This window comes from Homo sapiens, chromosome X, assembly GCF_000001405.40.
Source record: "Homo sapiens chromosome X, GRCh38.p14 Primary Assembly".
NCBI classification, from domain to species: domain Eukaryota; kingdom Metazoa; phylum Chordata; class Mammalia; order Primates; family Hominidae; genus Homo; species Homo sapiens.
In genome coordinates, this window is record NC_000023.11 from 65646269 (window position 1) to 65664910 (window position 18642).

General features: G+C 44.7%; 1 protein-coding gene across 2 annotated transcripts in view; it reads left to right on the top strand.

Moving 5' to 3' along the window:
* Positions 1–18642, top strand: part of MSN (moesin) — a 153555-nt gene that overhangs the window by 57892 nt on the left and 77021 nt on the right. The gene's annotated exons all lie outside the window — the stretch shown is intronic.

The window sequence follows — 18642 nt, forward strand, 5'->3', positions numbered from 1 at the left end:
AGGGTTCCTCAGTTTTAACTTCCTGATCTTCACTTCTCTCATCCTGATTTTAAAGTTGTGTTTATTTAATTTTACAATTTTATTGCTTTCTTGTGGTGAGTTACTTCAAATCATTTGTGGAATGAGTTGAGAGATGAATGAGTTGAGAGATAGCTGGCCCAGAGGAGATAACGATAACATAGCTCACATCCTCATTATTTTTTGCCTGAGCTGTTACAATGGCTTCCAAACTGAGTTCTATATCCCCCATCTCATCTCATCCCCTCAATTCTGTCTTCCTTTGGCATGTGACATTATCTTTTCTAAAAACAAAAACCTGATCAAGTCACTTCCCTGCTTTAAAACTATAAGCAGTTTCTCATTATCCCGAGGATAACATTCAAGACCCCTAGTATGGCCGGGCGTGGTGGCTCACGCTTGTAATCCCAGCACTTTGGGAGGCCAAGGCGGGCTGATCACCTGAGGTCGGAAGTTCAAGACCAGCCTGTCCAACATGGAGAAACCCCATCTCTACTAAAAATACAATAAATTAGATGGGTGTGGTGGTGCATGCCTGTAATCCCAGCTACTCGAGAGGCTGAGGCAGGAGAATCTCTTGAACCCGGGGAGCGGAGGTTGTGGTGAGCCGAGATCGCACCATTGCACTCCAGCCTGGGCAACAAGAGTGAAGCTCCATCTCAAAACAAAACAAAACAAAACAAAAAAACAAACCCTAGTATGAGGTACAAGGCCCTTTGTGAATTCACCACCTCTCATTCACTCTTATTATAGACACTGGTTTTCAATAGAGATAAAAAGCAAACACTGTTCCTGCCTTAATGAAACTTATGGTTTACTTGGGGAGACAGACATTAATCAACTCAAGACTCAAATAATTGTATATTTGCAAACTGTAGTAAGTTAGTAAGTTCTATGGAGGAAAGGTGGTTAGTTTGCTCTATCTCTTTTTTTTTTTTTTTTTGAGATGGAGTCTTGCACTGTCATCCAGGTTGGAGTGCAATGGCGTGATCTCGGCTCACTGCAACCTCCACCTCCCGGGTTCAAGCAATTCTCCTGCCTCAGCCTCCCAAGCAGCTGGGATTACAGGTGCCTGCCACCACACCCAGCTAATTTTTTGGATTTTTAGTAGAGGTGGGATTTTGCCATGTTGGCCAGGCTGGTCTCGAACTCCTGACCTCGTGATCCGCCCACCTCGGCTTCCCAAAGTGCTGGGATTACAGGCGTAAGCCACTGCACCCAGCCAGGTGGTTAGTTCTCTAAGGACATGTGGTAGGGATCCTGACATATGGTGGGTTTTAGAGAGTTCCACAAGTAGTGATATTTGATCTAAAGGAAGGATTGAATTGGTGTTAACTAGGTAAATGGTGAAGGTGGGGAAACATGTGCTCCCCTGCAGAATGCATAGTATGCAAAGACCTTCATGGGGGATGGATTGGAGGAAGCATAACACATTTTAGAGATGGAAAAATGGCTAGTGTGGCTGGAATGCAAGCAGTGACAGAGAGAGTTGGTAGAGAGAGGCTAGAGAAATAGGTAGGAGCCATACCATAAATGCCTTTTAAAGGCCATGACAACGATTCTTTTCATCATAAAAGCACAGGGGAGAAGCCATTGAAGGTTTTTAAGCTGGAGAATGACATGATTTTGCATATTGAAAATATTTCTCTGGCTTCTTTGTGGACAAATGGATGGAGGAGAGCCAAAAAGGATGTGGGAAAATCAGTTAGGAACCTGATGTAGTTGTCCATTCGACTGGGCTGGGACCAGGGTAGTGGCAGTGGACATAGAGAGAAGCAGACAGATTTGAAAGTTTTTAGAATGGCTCATTGATAGAACTTAGCAGTGGGTTGAAATGGCTGGAGGGGGTGGGGGGGGCGTGAGGAAAAAGAAGATATTAAAGATGACTCTTAGATCTCTGGAAGGGGACAAGTTTGAGGAGAGGAATGATCAGAAGGGTTTTTGAGGCCTGGAGTGGTCACTCATGCATTTAATCCCAACACTTTGGGAGGCGCGGTGGCTCACGCCTGTAATCCCAGCACTTTGGGAGGCCGACGTGGGCAGATCGCCTGAGGTCAGGAGTTCAAGACCAGCCTGGCCAACGTGGTGAAACCCCTTCTCTACTAAAAATACAAAAATTAGCCGGGCGTGGTCGTGGGCGCCTGTGATCTCAGCTACTTGGGAGGCTGAGGCAGGAGAATTGCTTGAATCTGGGAGGCAGAGGTTGCAGTGAGCCAAGATCGTGCCACTGCACTCCAGCCTGGGCAACAGAGAGAGACTCCGTCTCAAAAATAAAAGTAAAAATAAAAAATAAATAAAAGAGAGGACTGGACGTGGTGGCCCACGCCTGTAATCCCAGCACTTTGGGAGGCCGAGATGGGTGGATCACGAGGTCAGAAGATCAAGACCATCCTGGCTAACACGGTGAAACCCCGTCTCTACTAAAAATTAGCCAGGCGTGGTGGCACGCACTTGTAATCCCAGCTACTTGGGAGGCTGAGGCAGGAGAATCGCTTGAACCTGGGAGGCGGAAGTTGCAGTGAGCCGAGATCATGACACTGCACTCCAGCCTGGGTGACAGTGTGAGCCTCCATCTCAAAGATTAAAATAAAATAAAATAAAATAAATAAAATAAATAAAATAAAATAAAATAAAATAAAATAAAAAAGATGTGACTGGAAATGAGAGGTAAGGCCTGGGTATGGATGAGGAGAAAATGCCAAAGATCCCACTGTCCGTAAGTGGCCAAGTGAACACCTGAATCTAGGCTGGGATGCCAAATCCTGTGACCTTTCTACTCAACTTACTACTTCTTTTTACTGGGAGGAAAAATGGTTGCCGAAAGGCAGAGTGTATTACTTCAGCAGGGAGAAGAAGGTAGACTGCTCAAGATATGGCCTAAGGGAAGAGACAACATGGGTCCAATGTGTACAACCTTGTGTGTGAGGGAGAAGTGCTGGTAGGTGGTAGCTTAAAAAAATTTATATATATATGTATATATATATATATATATCTATGGCCAGGAGCCCGTGGCTCACACCTGTAGTCCCAGCACTTTAGGAGGCAGGGGCAGGTGAATCACAAGGTCAGGAGTTTGAGACCAGCCTGTCAATATGATGAAACCCCATCTCTACTAAAAAAAAAAAAAAAAAATACAAAAATTAGCCAGGCGTGGTGGCGGGTGCCTGTAGTCCCAGCTCCTTGGGAGGCTGAGGCAGGAGATTTGCTTGAACCCGGGAGGCGGAGGTTGCAGTGAGCCGAGATCATGCCACTGTGCTCCAGCCTAGGTGACAGAGAGAGACTCTATCTCAAAAAAAAAAAAAATATATATATATATATTTGTGTGTGTGTGTGTGTGTATGCGCGTGTGTATATGTATGTGTGTGTATATGTGTGTGTGTGTATGTGTGTATATATATATAAAATTGGGTACAGTGTCTGTCTGGAGAGCTGGGTTCCAGCTCACTGGCTATGTGGCCTTGAGCTGGGCTCATACTTTGTCTTTGCCTTTTCATAGTAGGACTAGGAATCCCTACCCCACCAAAGCAAGGAACAAATGAGATAACAAAAAAATAACACGTGAAACAGACCACTACCACCACCATCCACAAATAACATACGCACAAGCTCCTGGCACTGCACATGACACACACTAGGTGCTCCAGAAAAGGTTCTGGAATGAGAATCATCATTTCTCTGTATATATAGGTATGAAAAAAAAAACGTGCACATTGTTGTGTGGATAGACAGGTGGTTAATATAGACTCCACAGGCCTCCTTTTTTCTCTTTTTTTTTTTTTTTTTTTTTTTTTGAGGCAGAGTGAGACTCTGTCACCCAGGCTGGAGTGCAGTGGTACTGCAACCTCCCCCTCCTGCAAACTCCCCCTCCTGGATTCACTGCAACCTCCCCCTCCTGGGTTCAAGCGATTCTTGCACCTCAGCCTCTCAAATAGCTGGGACCACAGGTGCATGCCACTATTCCCAGCTAATTTTTGTATTTTTAGTAGAGACAGGGTTTTGCCATGTTGGCCAGGCTGGTCTCGAACACTTGGCTTCAAGTGATCCACCCCCCTTGGCCTCCCAAAGTGCTGGGATTACAGGCATGAGCCACTGCACCCAGCCATCAAGGGTTCCTTTTCTGAGAAATAAAAGATGTATGTGTTCTCAGGCTTCCAGCTTCTCTCCTACCACGTTCTGGCTGGGGAGGTGCCAGCCTCCTTTGGGCTCAGCCCCTTGGATGAAATGGCACCCCACATTAAGGGGCATTATGGAGGCAGGATCCCTAAGGCATGCCCAAGATTCATTCATTTATTTAACCTAATATTAATTGAGGTCCTACTCTGTGCTGGGTGCTACAATGTATGCTGGGGCTATGATGGTGAGCAGAACAGACCTATTTCCTGCCCTCATCAAAATCATGATCTAATGGGGGAGTGTAATAGTTTACCATGTGTCCCGTAACAAATTATGAGTGGTTTAAAACAACAATTAATTTTCTTACAGTTCTGGAGGTCAGAAGTTTAAAATGGTCAGCAGGGCTGAGTTCCTTCTGAAGGCTCTAGAGAAGAATAAATTTCCTTGTCTTTTCCAGCTTATTGAGACTGCCTGCATTCCTTGGCTTATGGTCCCTTCTCTCTTCAAAGCCAGCAATAGCAGGTCAAATCCTCACACTGCATCACTCTGACATCCTCTCATGCCTCCCTCTTCCACTGTTCCACTTATAAAGACCGTTGTGATTACACTGTGCCCACGCGGGTAATCTAGGATAATCTTCCCATCTCAAGGTCAGCTGATTAGTTACCTTAATTCCATCTGCAACCTTAATTCCTCTTTGTAATGTAACATAATATATTAATAGGTTTTGAAAATTAGAGGCCGGGTGCAGTGGCTCATGCCTGTAATTCCAGCACTTTGGGAGGCTGAGGTAGGCAGATCACTTGAGTTCAAGCGTTTGAGACCAGCCTTGCCAACATGGTGAAACCCTGTCTCTACCAAAAATACAAGACCACACCACTGCATTCCAGCCCGGGGGACAGAGTGAGACTCTATCTAAAAAAAAAAAAAAAGAAAGAAAGAAAGAAAATAAAATTAAGATATGGATATGTATGTTCAGGGTGCCATTTTTCTGTCTACTACAGGGAGGTAGATATTAAACAAGTAAATACACAGATAAAATACATTATTTCAAACTATAAGTGCTGTGAAGGAAACAAATCTCTGAGATTGAGAATATGGTGCTCTTTTTGTGGGGGATGTATTCTATTTTAGTAAAAATGGGCAAGGAAAGAAGTAATATTTATTATTATTATTATTATTATTATTATTATTATTATTATTTTGCTATGGACTTTCGCTGTTCTTGTCCAGGCTGGAGTGCAATGGCACGATCTCAGCTCACTGCAACCTCTGCCTCCTGGGTTCAAGCGATTCTCCTGCTTCAGCCTCTTGAGTAGCTGGGATTACAGGCACCTGCCATCCCACTCAGCTAATTTTTTGTATTTTTAGTAGAGATGGGGTTTCATCACATTGGCCACATTGGCCAGGCTGGTCTCGAACTCCTGACCTCAGGTGATCCACCCACCTTGGCCTCCCAAAGCGTTGGGATTACAGGCGTGAGCCACCGCACCCGGCCTTTCAGTTGCTCTTTACTTGCTGTGTTTCCCTTCTATCAGACATCCCTCTAGTCATATTAACACCATCCCAGGCCAGGCATGGTGGCTCACGCCTGTAATCCCAGCACTTTGGGAGGCAAAGGTGGGTGGATCACTTGAGGCCAGAAGTTCAAGACCAGCCTCTACTTTCATCCCCTGTGCAGTCTATGAGGTCAGAGCCCTGAGGATGGGAAGCAACCTCCCTAGGCCAGCAGGCAAGCCCATGACCCTTGGGATGTGCTGTGCTAATCCAGCCCCCTGGAAGATGGGGGCAACTAGAATGTGGAGCACCGGAAGGCTGGTGCACTTGCAGTTCAGTGATGCAGCCAGTCTGAGGGTTAATCAGGACAGAGACCTTTGCCCACAGAGCCAGGATGATTTCATCTCTATGGCAAGCATCATCAATCAATCAGGAGGCCTGGAGCTGGACAAGTTTTTGGGAGATGAGAAGATAATGCAAGCCACAATCCTTGCCTTTAGGAGCTTTTGTTGGAGATCCAGAACCCATGTCACAGGAAGAGTAAGACCTCTCCAGTTTCCAGGTCAGCTTCTAAAGCTTCTAAACAAGAGAAGCTCTCATTTCTCCTGGGTCTCAGATCTGGCCCTGAGCCATGGTAGGTACTTGATCCAGGTCTGCTCTCAGCAGAGAGACCCACCAGCAAGCCCCTGTAATTTTTTCTCCCTCCCTAAGAACTTCTCAGCTTCTATTTTCAGATGTCCCCCAAAGCAACAGGAGCATGGGATCATTAATCTTTTGTATTAACTTGCTTGATTCTTATTGCTCTTGAGTCTGGAGACCCAGTGGAAAGAATCCTAGCCTGGGAGTCAGGAGAACTAGTCTTTTTCCTGACCAACTCCATTCACTTCCCTTGGCCGTAGTTTTCTCACTTGTAAAATTGGGACACGTAGCCTAGATGATGTTAAAGGTGTAATATTTTAAGATTCTGATTTCTGTTTTTACTCTTTCATTGAGGATATGGGAGAGGTGGATTTAGGCGGTGATGAAGGACCATGCTCTAAGATTCAGAGGTTCTATGAGTTAAACATGGGGCTCTCTCTCTTCTCCCAAGCATTCTGATACTCAGAATAAATGGCTGGATGTCTTTGGAACCAGTCATATGGCAGTATATTTAGGACTTTGTTGGCCTGCAGAAAGTAGAACCAGACCTCTTGGCCCCCAGTCCCAAAGTCTTAGAGAAGTGGAGGCTGGGGAGTTGGGAGTGGTGTGTGTGTGACAGAAAACTGGAGAATGGCTTCTCATCTTCCCCTGTGGCATTATTTTGCCAACACCACATTCTCTGGAGCCACTGGAGAGGCTCAGGAACACATGATGTGGCTGGTTTGAAGGGGCACTTCAAACCTGGGGGATGGCCCCGCATTTTCCCCACTGAGACATAGCCACATATGGGCTCACATCTTCATGTAAATACATGGCTAGGCTGAATATAAACCAATGCCTTTGGTGTAGTGTGAAGTAGGGGGAAGTCTCTTAAAAATAGTTAGGAATGTTTGAGGCCTGTATTTCTCAGAAAAAAAATAATGTTAAAATGTGTTCTGGTCTGAGACTAGGGAGTAAAGAATGAGAAAAAGTGTTTTAGGAACGTAAGTGGTGGGAGGAAGGGGCTACTATACATTAGGCTGACTTGGAAATACAGATTAGGCCGAACAACACACACACAAGCAAATGGGCACATAAACAGGCAAGCATGGGAGCCTGTTTGCTCCATGTGTATGTTATCCATGTGTATGGATAACATACACATGGCCAAACAAAGGCACATCTGGGGGCCCAGGAAGACTCCAGAACCTACATTTATATACCACATACACATAGCTATGACCACACTTTTTCTATGTGGAAGTATGTATTTTTTGAGATGGAGTTTTGCTCTTGTTGCCCAGGCTGGAGTGTAGTGGCGCGACCTCGGCTGACTGCAACCTCCACCTCCCGGGTTCAAGTGATTCTTTTGCCTCAGCCTCCCGAGTAGCTGGGATTACAGACGCCTGCCACTACACCCAGCTATTTTTTTGTATTTTTTGGTAGAAACGGGGTTTCACCACATTGACCAGACTGGTCTTGAACTCCTGACCTCAGGTGATCCGCCTGCCTCGGCCTCCCAGTGTGCTGGGATTACATGCGTGAGCCACTGCACCTGGCTCTATGCAATCATTTTATGGAGACCCTTCTTTTTTTTTTTTTTTTTTTTGGGACAGAGTCTTCCTCTGTCGCCCAGGCTGGAGTGCAGTGGCGCGATCTCCACTCACTGCAAGCTCCGCCTCCCGGGCTCACACCATTCTCCTGCCTCAGCCTCCTGAGTAGCTGGGACTACAGGCGCCCACCACCACACTCAGCTAATTTTTTATTTATTTTTTTTTTGTATTTTTTAGTAGAGACAGGGTTTCACCACATTAGCCAGGATGGTCTTGATCTCCTGACCTCGTGATCGGCCCTCCTCGGCCTCCCAAAGTGCTGGGATTACAGGCGAGCCACCACGCCTGGCCTTGCAAAGACCCTTCTTATAGCCAACCTTATATATCCTCCTGGCCAAAAATATTGGGAGGTAGCTATTATTATTACCCCAATTTTTACAGGAAACTGAGGCTTGGGTTAATCAACTGATTTACCTAAAGTTGCTGAACTAGTTATTGGAAAAACAGACTAAAACCAGGTGTTCTGTTTCCAAAATTTACTGCTTTCAAGGTGGCACTTTCTCTCTCTCTCTTTCCCTCATACATATACTAAAGAAAAAAAAATGTGCAGCTATCTTGCTATATATACATAAAGGCATATACGTATGAATAAAGCATATACACCACCAGTGGCCAGTAGGAGTTTTTGGGTTGTGCTCTCATGGAGGTCTTAGTAAGAGGAGAAGGGTCTGCTCAAAGCCCTGACCCATCCTGCTTTCTGTTCCTTGTCCAGTCACCTATGACTGTTTTTTCAGAGCGTTGTAGGTGGGAGCTTTTTATGCCAGGGTAATAGTTTTTATTGGCCCTGCTGAGATGAAGTCTTTTATCCCCATACCTCAACACTTAGGATGTGGGGAGTGGTGAAAAAATATATTATATTCCTTTTTTTTTGTCTGTCTCCCTCACTAGGTTGTGAGCCCTGTAAGGGTAGAAACTTTTGTTTTTTTCATGTCTGTATACACAGAGCCTAGTACAGTGCCTTTTGTGTAGTAAGCATACACACAAAAAATTGTTGAATGAATGAATAATAAAGTCAGATAGTTGAATGAATGAATAATAAAGTCAGATAATAAAGTCAGATAGGCTTGTTTCATTATAGGATGAATAATAAAGTCAGATAGGCTTGTTTCATTATAGGATGAATAATAAAGTCAGATAGGCTTGTTTCAAGACCCTACTTATAATGAGATCATGGCCAAGTGACCTTACTTCCTTGAGCCTCAGTTACCTTATCTGTCATATATGGATTGACACTCTGATTACCTAAGATGTTCTTGGTAGTGAATGACATAATGATTTGAAAATGGCTCTGTTTTTATTTGAGGGCTTCTTACATATTGATTTTATAGACCCTTAGGGCATAGAAATTTTCTCTTCAACCTCCCAGAGTATGGGGTCATGTAACCTTTGTCAACAAACTTTCAATTACGAGGACCTCAGTACTTTTTGAATGACTCTCTCCAGTTTTGGACAGCTGTGACTATACAAACCTTCTCCCTCGTGTCCCACTGTGGCTTTCTCCCACTTGATCCAGCTCTGCCTCTTGGCATTCAGAAGTCTGATTCAGAAGAAGACATAGACATCTCCCTGAATCTTCTAATAGGTCTAATAGATCAGAAACCTCTTTTCATGATAGCTTGTGGTTTTTTTGTTTTATTTTGTTTTGTTTTGTTTTTTGAGACAGAGTCTTGTTCTTGTCGCCCAGGCTGGAGTGCAGTGGCGTGACCTTGGCTCACTATAACCTCTGCTTCCCGGGTTCAAGTTGTTCTCCTGCCTTAGCCTCCCAAGTAGCTGGGACTACAGGTGCCTGCCATCATGCCTGGCTAATTTTTGTATTTTTAGTAGAGACAGGGTGTCACCATATTGTCCAGGCTGGTCTCGAACTCCTGACCTCAGGTGATTCACCCGCCTTGGCCTCCCAAAGTTCAGGGATTACAGGCATGAGCCACCATGCCTGGCTGATAGCTTGTGTTTTCAAAAGGCTGAATTATTGTATGGATATACCATAATGTATTTAATTAGTGCTCTGGTGATGGACATTTATGTTGTTTCCCTTGATTATTATAGTATTGCAGTGAATGTCTTTGTAAATGCCTCTTTGTACACAGTATAGTGTTTACCTAAGGCAGACTGGGAGCAGAGCTGAAAAGATCTATGCCTGTGTGTGTGTGTGTGTGTGTGTGTGTGTGTGTGTGTGTATTGTGTTTGTTGTTGTGAGTTGGGAGAGAGAAAGTGATGACATAGGAGAATCTGTTCCATTAGTCTTGTCTCCTAACAGGATAAGTTGAGGCAATGTGAAGGGGAATGTGTGCCCTTAGAGAAACTGAACATAATACAAGTTGATAGGCCTGCAAGGCTGGAAATGAGCAGATCCCTCTCTTCTCTGGCCTAGCTGAGCAACCTGTCATGAGCTCCAAGGTTATGCCTAGAAGTGTTCTGGACTCCTTCTGCATGGAACAAAAACTGTGATCCCTTTATGGGAGCAACTACAGCCCAGCCTGGAATGGAAAATTAAAATTAAAAAAAGCAGCTGCTGACAAGACAAAGCAGGATGTGGGAGGGAGGCCAAATGAGCACTGTGAACCTACTGCAGGCACTGCGGGGCTGAGGGAGACAGAGAGCACGAGGAGGGCAGGAAAGACCAAGGGAGGGCTTTGTGCAGGAGGTAGGGCCCGGGAAGCCCAGAGACAAGAGCAAGCACACGGTGCTGCTGCGTGCAGTGAGTAGCCCAGCTAGAGGGCACGGCCTGTGCTGAGGAGCCGTGGGAGGAAGAGAGGGCTGGGAAGGTAAGTGTGTGCATTGGTGTGTGTGTGAGGGTTCACCTGCCAATTCTGAGCACACATGAAGGCTATGTTTCTGAAGATCACCATGAAGATCACCAAATGACCATGTGGAGGCTGGCCTGGACAGGCAGCCTGGAGGCAGGGAGACGAGGGAGGAGCCTGTTCCAACAGTTGAGGCCAGAGTCGGGGAGGGCTGACCTGGGGCACTGGCAGTGGAGATGGGATGGAGTGAAGCTGTGAAGGACACACAGACAGACAGAGAGCAGAGCTTGGTGACTGATGGCAGGGGTCAGGCAGAGTTAAAGATGATGAAACTGTGCACACAAAAGACGACGCCAACAGCAAAACCACCAACAGATACAGAGCTGCTGGGAAGGGGAGCTCGAGGGGAGAGGAGGGTGAGCACCCCTCACAGAGCCTCTCATAGAGCCTGGCACCTAACAGGCACCCAGTCACAGATGGATGCGGATGGTTCACAGACGGGCCATGAGCTCAGCAGGCTGTTTTCTCTCTGGGCACATGCAGACTGGTCACATATGCAGGGTGACTGGTCAGTGGGGGCAGGGCTGGGGGGGCTGATGACTTCACTGGGAGATCCTGTCTATGGAGCCAATTTCATATTCCAAGAGGATAGTGACTTAAATTAAATTGATATTGGCTGGCTGGGGAAAGTGCTTGAAAAGCTTCCAGCTCTATCAGGTGAAAAACCAGAGAGAAACTTTGTCCTCTCATGGTGGTCCATTAGTGTGATTAATAATAAATATTCCCAGACACTTGATACTGGCAAAACGCCTTATCAGCCCTGCTTATGATTACTCACCTGCTATCTCGAACCATTAGTCTGACCACCAAGGTGCGGGGGTGATGCGAATCTTAAAATACACCCCCTTCCTCGAGTATGTCTGGTCATAGCTCAGGACTGAGAAAGTCACAGATTCAGGCTGATGGGATGAAGGTGGACTTTGGTCTGACACTACCTGGGCCCAGATCCCTGTGCCACCATCAACAAATCAACAAACATGTGACTTTTGGACAAGTCACATCACTTCTCAGATCCTCAATGTCCTCATTTCTACCAATGTAACTGTCATTTCTTGTGAGGGTTACATTGAGGTTAGATATTGAAATGGCCTCCCTAATGCTCAGCACATAGTAGGTGCCTTGTTTAATATTATCTTCTCTCCTTTTACCCAGATGCTAGCTTTTTTTCCTAAGAAGTAGCTACAAGACTGAGGATGGTTAAAAGCATGATTTTCCTACTACTGCAGTTTGTACTCTCAGCCACATTATGCTGTGAGAGGGTCTTTTTCCTTAGGGGAGACAACAGTATCTAAAGAATAAGCTAAAGAATAGTTTATTCTCTTTTTTGTGTAAGGGGCACAAGTAGTCAAGTGTTTGCACTACTGACCCAGGGGAAGAAAAAGAGAGAGAGAGAAGGCCTCAGAGTGTGGGGCCCCAAGCTGATATTTTTTCTCATCTGTCTCTGACACATTTCTCTTCTATGAATGAAGCTAGAACAGCAATCTCAGGGGCTTAGTTAATTCTTCCTGCAAGAAAAACCCAAGAGCAAATGTGCTGAGTGAAACAGAAGGACTTTCCAACAATGATGAAAATGAAAAGCAGCCCTCAGAAAGTTTTGAGTGATGGGGAACTTTCAATTGCTACCCTTCAGTGAATTGTTGGGGTCAGGGGGATTCTTTTTGCAAAGTATCCCTTGCTGTTCTCCAACCAGTTTGTCCCTGGTATTGCCTCCTCTGCACTGCACTGCATCCCCTGAAGGAGGAATGCCACTTGAAATGCAGAAGCTTCTTTATTGCCGTGAACTTAGATCTAGGATGGGAACAATATATTTGCAGATGATTAAAAGTCCAATTTCATTTCTCTCTTGAGCTTGGACATAGACTTTCATATAAATCAGCTTGATTTTTCTTTTGTTTTTTTCTTTTTCTTTTTCTTTTCTTTCTTTTTTTTTTGAGACGAAGTCTTGCTCTGTCACCCAGGCTGGAGTGCAATGGCGCAACCTTGGCTCACTGCAACCTCCACCTCCCGGGCTCAAGCGATTCTCCTGCCTCAGCCTCCGGAGTAGCTGGGATTACAGGCATGTGCCACCGTGCCTAGCTAATTTTTGTATTTTTAGTAGAGACAGGTTTCACCATGTTGTGCAGGCTGGTCTTGGACTCCTGACCTCAGGTGATCCACCCTCCTCAGCCTCCCAAAGTGCTGGGATTACAGGTGTGAGCCACCGTGCCTGGCTACCTTTTTTCTTTTTTCTTTTTTTTTGAGATGGAGTCTCATTCTGTTGCCCAGGCTGGAGTGCAGTGGTGCAATCTTGGCTTACTGCAACCTCTTTGCCTCCCAGGTTCAAGCAATCCTCCTGCCTCAGCCTCCCAAGTAGCTGGGACCACAGGTACGTACCACCATGTCCAGCTAATTTTTTGTATTTTTAGTAGAGATAGGGTTCACCATTTTGGCCAGGCTGGTCTCAAACTCCTGGCCTCAAGTGATCCACCAGCCTCGGCCTCCCAAAGTGTTGGGATTACAGGCATGTGCCATCACTCCCGGCATCACATAAATCAGCTTCATGCAGTTCTTGCTTGCTGTTCCCTTGACTTTGATGCCCAGACTTGCTGCAGCTCCAGAACATTCCCAGCCCCCAAGGAATCCTGAGCCTTTCAAACTGGACCCCAAGTCTGTCCCTAAAGCCCTGACCAAATATTCCTTTGCATCTCCTGCCCACTGACTCAGATGCCCCCGGCTTCCTTGGACTCCAGCTCCAGAATGTCCCTGTACCACCTCTGCTCATATTGGCCCTCATTAGCTGTACTGCTTGAAAAAGACTTGCCTGTCTCCCTTAGAACTTTCTGAATTTAGCTTGTCTAAAAACCCAAATCTCTTCATACCCCTTATGTTCCTCTCACAGAGTAACCAACCTATATGTGGATGTATGGCTCCTATTTCTATGTCTTCTCTCTAGAAACACTGACATAAACCTCATCAGATCTAAACCTACTCATGGGTATTACTGTGGCCCCAGGATGATTGATCTAACTCTCAGTTCAAATAGGATCACAGTAGGGGGTAAGGTGGGGGGACTATCAGAAGTTTGGGCAATATAGGCATGAAATGGTTTACAAGGAGGTAGGAAACAAAGCTGTTTCACTGCCGTCTTAAAGAACAAGATAGCACCTCGGCTGCCTCTGCTCTGCTCTGGAGACAGGGGCGTAACTGAGATGAGTCCCTGCTAGCCAAAGGGTTTCATGTCTAGCCCCTAAACAATGTCTAGCTATTGACCATAATCACCATAACAAGCTTCTGTTTGGTGAAGTGGGGAGGAAGGCACTACTTCTCTGGCTCTAGCCCTCAAAATTTATTGCTTTATTTATTTGACTCTTAGCCTGAACATTATTGGTGTATAGAAATGCTACTGATTTTTGTACATTGACTTTGTATTCTACAATTTTGCTGAAGCTATTTATCAGATCTAGGAGCCTTTGGGCAGAGATTATGTGGTTTTCTAGGTATAGAATCATATCATCTGCAAAGAGAGATAGTTTGACTTCTTCCTTTCCTATTTGGATACCTTTTATTTCTTTATCTTGCCTGATTGCTCTGGCCAGGACTTCCAGTATTATGTTGAATAGGAGTGGTGAGAATGGGCATCCTTGTCTTGTTCCAGTTCTTTTTTTTTTTTTTTTTGAGATGGAGTCTCGCTCTGTTGCCAGGCTGGAGTGCAGTGGCGCCGTCTCGGCTCACTGCAACCTCCACCTCCTGGGTTCAAGCAATTCTCCTGCCTCAGCCTACCAAGTAGCTGGGATTACAGGCATGTGCCACCACACCCGGCTAATTTTTGTATTTTTAGTAGAGATGAGGTTTCACCATGTTGGTCAGGCTGGTCTTGAACTCCTGACCTCGTGATCCGCCCACCTCGGCCTCCCAAAGTGCTGGGATTGTAGGCGTGGGCCACCGTGCCCAGCCAAGTCTTGTTCCAGTTCTTTAGGGGAAAGGCTTTCAGCTTTTCCCCATTCAGTATGACGTTGGCTGTGGGTTTATGATAGATGGCTCTTTTATTTGTTTGTTTTGTTTTGTTTTTTTGAGATGGAGTCTTCCTCTGTCACCCAGGCTGGAGTGCAGTGGTGTGATCTCAGCTCATTGCAACCTCTGCCTCCCAAGTTCAAGTGATTCTCCTGCCTTAGCCTTCCAAGTAGCTGGGATTACAGGTGTCTGCCATCATGCCTGGCTAATTTTTGTATTTTTAGTAGAGACAAGGTTTCACCATGTTGGCCAGGCTGGTCTCGAACTCCTGACCTCAAGTGATCCAACCGCCTCAGTCTCTCAAACTGCTGGGATTACAGGCATGAGCCACCTATAGATGGCTCTTGTTATTTTGTGGTATGTTCTTTTGATGCCTAGTTTGTTGAGGGTTTTTATCATAAAGGTTGTTGAATTGTATTGAAAACTTTTTCTGTATCTATTGAAATGATCATACGATTTTTGTTTTTAATTGTGTGTATGTGGCAAATCACATTTATTGATTTGTATACATTGAACCAGCCTCGCACTCCAGGAATGAAGCTGATTGATCATGGCATGTTAACTTTTTGACGTGCTGCTGGATTTGTTTGCTAGTATTTTGTTAAGGACTTTTGCATCTATGCTCATTAGGGATATTGGCCTGAAGTTTTCTTTTTTCATTTTGTCTCTGCCAGATTTTGGTATTAGGCTGATGCTGGCTTCACAGAATTAGTTAGCGAGGAGCCCCACCTCCTCAATTTCTTTTTAGAATAGTTTCAGTAGAACTGGTACCAGTTTTTCTCAAGAACACATCCCCATTTACCATAGCCACAAAGAGACTGGGCACTGTGGCTGACACCTGTAATCCCAGCACTTTGGAAAGTTGAGGTAGGCAGATCACCTGAGGTCAGGAGTTCCAGACCTGCCTGGCCAACATGGCCCTGTCTCTACTAAAAATACAAAAATTAGCCAGGCATGGTGGCGTATGCCTGTAGTCCCAGATACTCAGAGGTCAAGGCAGAAGAATTGCTTGAACTCAGTAGGCGGAGGTTGCAATGAGCTGAGATTGTGCCATTGCATTACAGCCTGTGTGATAGAGCAACACTCCATCTCAAAACAAAACCAAACAATAGCCACAAAGAAAATGAAATATCTAGGAGTACAGCAGCTAACCAAGGAGGTGAAAGATCTCTCCAAGGAGAAGTACAAAACACTGCTCAAAGAAATTGGAGATGACACAAATAAATGAAAAAATATCCCATGCTCATGGATTGGAAGAAGCAATATCATTAAAATAGCCATACTGCCCAAAGCAATTTACAGATTCAACGTTATTCCCATCAAACTACCAATGTCATTCTTTACAGAATTAGAAAAAACTGTTCTAAAATTCACATGGAACCAAAAAGGAGCCCAAATAGCCAAAACAATCTTAAGCAAAAAGAACAAAGCTTGAGGCATCACACTACACAACATCAAACTATACTATAAAGCTATCAAGACCAAAACAGCATGGTACTGGTACAAAAACAGACACATAGACCAATGGAACAGAATATATAGAAAACTCAGAAATCAGGCCTCATACTTATAACCATCTGATCTTTGACGAGGTCGACAAAAACAAACAATAGGAAAGAACTCCCTATGTAATAAAAGGTGCTGAGATACTTGGCTAGCCATATGCAGAAGAATGAAACTAGACCCTTACCTTTCACCATTTACAGAAATTAACTCAATATGGATTAAGTATTTAAATTTAAGATCTCAAACTATAAAAATCACAGAATAAAACCTAGGAAACACACTTCTTGACATAGGCCTTGGTGAAAAATTTTTGTCTACGTCTCAAAAAGAATTACAACAAAAGCAAAAATTGGCAAGTGAGACCTAATTAAACTAAAGAGTTTCTGCACAGCAAAAGAAACTATCAACAGAGTAAACAGACAACCTACAGAATGAGGAAGACATTTGTAAACTATTCAACTGACAAGGGCTTAACATCTAGAATCTATAGGGCACTTAAACAAATCAATAATCTAAAAATAAATAACCCTATTAAAAAATGAGCAAAGGGCCAGGCGTGGCGGCTCACGCCTGTAATCCCAGCACTTTGGGAGGCTGAGGCAGGTGGATCACCTGAGGCCAGGAGTTCGAGACCAGCCTGAACAACATGCTGAAACCCTGTCTCTACTAAAAATACAAAAATTAGCAAGGCGTGGTGGCATGCACCTGTAATTCCAGCTACTCGGGAGGCTGAGGCAGGAAAATCACTTGAACCCAGGAGGTGGAGGTTGCAGTGAGCCACGATCACGCCATTGCACTCCAGTCTGGGCAACAAGAGTGAAACTTTGTCTCAAAAAAAAAAAAAATGAGCAAAGGACGTGAACAGACACTTCTCAGAAAAAGACATACAAGTGGCCAACAAATATATGAAAAAAAAATGCCTATCATCACTCACCATCGGAGAAATGCAAATCTAACCCACAATCTAACAGATGTAAGGTGGTAACCTTACATCAGTCAGAATGACTAGTATTAAAATGTCAAAAAAAACAACAAATGCTGGCGAGGCTGTGGAGAAAAGGGAATGCTTATACACTGTTAGTGGGAATGTGAATTACTTCAGCAACTGGGCAAAGCAGTTTGAAGATTTGTCAAAGAACTTAAAACAGAGCTACATTTGTTCCAGCATTCTTATTACTAGGTATATACCTAAAGGAAAATAGATCATTATACCAAAAAGACACATGGACTTGCATGTTCATAGCAGCATTATTCACAGTAACGAAGACATGAAATCAATGTAGGTGCCCATGATCAATGGTTGACTGGATAAAGAAAATGGTTGACTGGATAAAGAAATGGTCAACTAAGGCCAGGAGCGGTGACTCATGCCTATAATCCCAGCACTTTGGGAGGCCGAGGTGGGCTGATCACAAGGTCAGGAGATCGAGACCATCCTGGCTAGCATGGTGAAACCCCGTCTCTACTAAAAATACAAAAAAAATTAGCCGGGCATGGTGGCGGGTGCCTATAGTCCCAGCTACTTGGGAGGCTGAGGCAAGAGAATGGCATGAACCCGGGAGGCGGAGCTTGAAGTGAGCCGAGATCACGCCACTGCACTCCAGCCTGGGTGACAGAGTGAGACTCCATCTCAAAAAAAAAAAAAAAAGAAAGAAATAGTCGACTGGATAAAGAAAATGTGGTACATATACACCGTGGAATACTATGCAGCCATAGAAAAGAATAAAATTATGTCCTTAGTAGCAACATGGATGGAACAGGAGGCCATAATCCTAAGTGAATTAGTGAAGGAACAGAAAGCCAAATACCGCATGTTCTCACTTATAAGTGGGAGCTTAACATTGAGCACCTACAGACATAAACATGGGCACAACAGACACTGAAAACTACTAGAGGTGGGAGGGAAGAGGACATGGGTTGAAAAGCTTCCTAATGAGTACTATGCTCACTACCTGAGTGCAATATATCTATGTAACAAACATGCACATGTACCCCCTGTATCTAAAATAAAACATGAGAAAATAATATTTAAAAAATTTCTTGCTTGTACTATTGCCAGAGCTTCTTAACTGAGCTCTTTGTCTTCTGTACATTAGCTATCTGGCCTTGGGTAAGTCTTTTCCTCTTTCTGATCCCCAGTTCTCCTGACCTGGAGTGAGACTGGACTAACTAGTCTCTGATAGTTTATGCTCTCTCTCTATTTCCCATCCTCTCCTCCCCAGAGGTCCAACCTCATCTTTCTCCCTCAGCCCCTTTCCCCCTATTTCTTAGCTCCCCGAGCCTCTGACACCCCCTGCCCCTGCTTGGACTTCTATGCCCCCTTTCTTTTTTTTTTTTTTTAAGACAGTGTTTTGCTCTGTCACCCTGGCTGGAGTGCAGTGGTATGATCTTTGCTCACTGCAGCCTCTGCCTTCTGGGTTCAAGTAATTCTCCTGCCTCAGCCTCTCGAGTAGCTGGGATTACAGGCACATGCCACCACACCC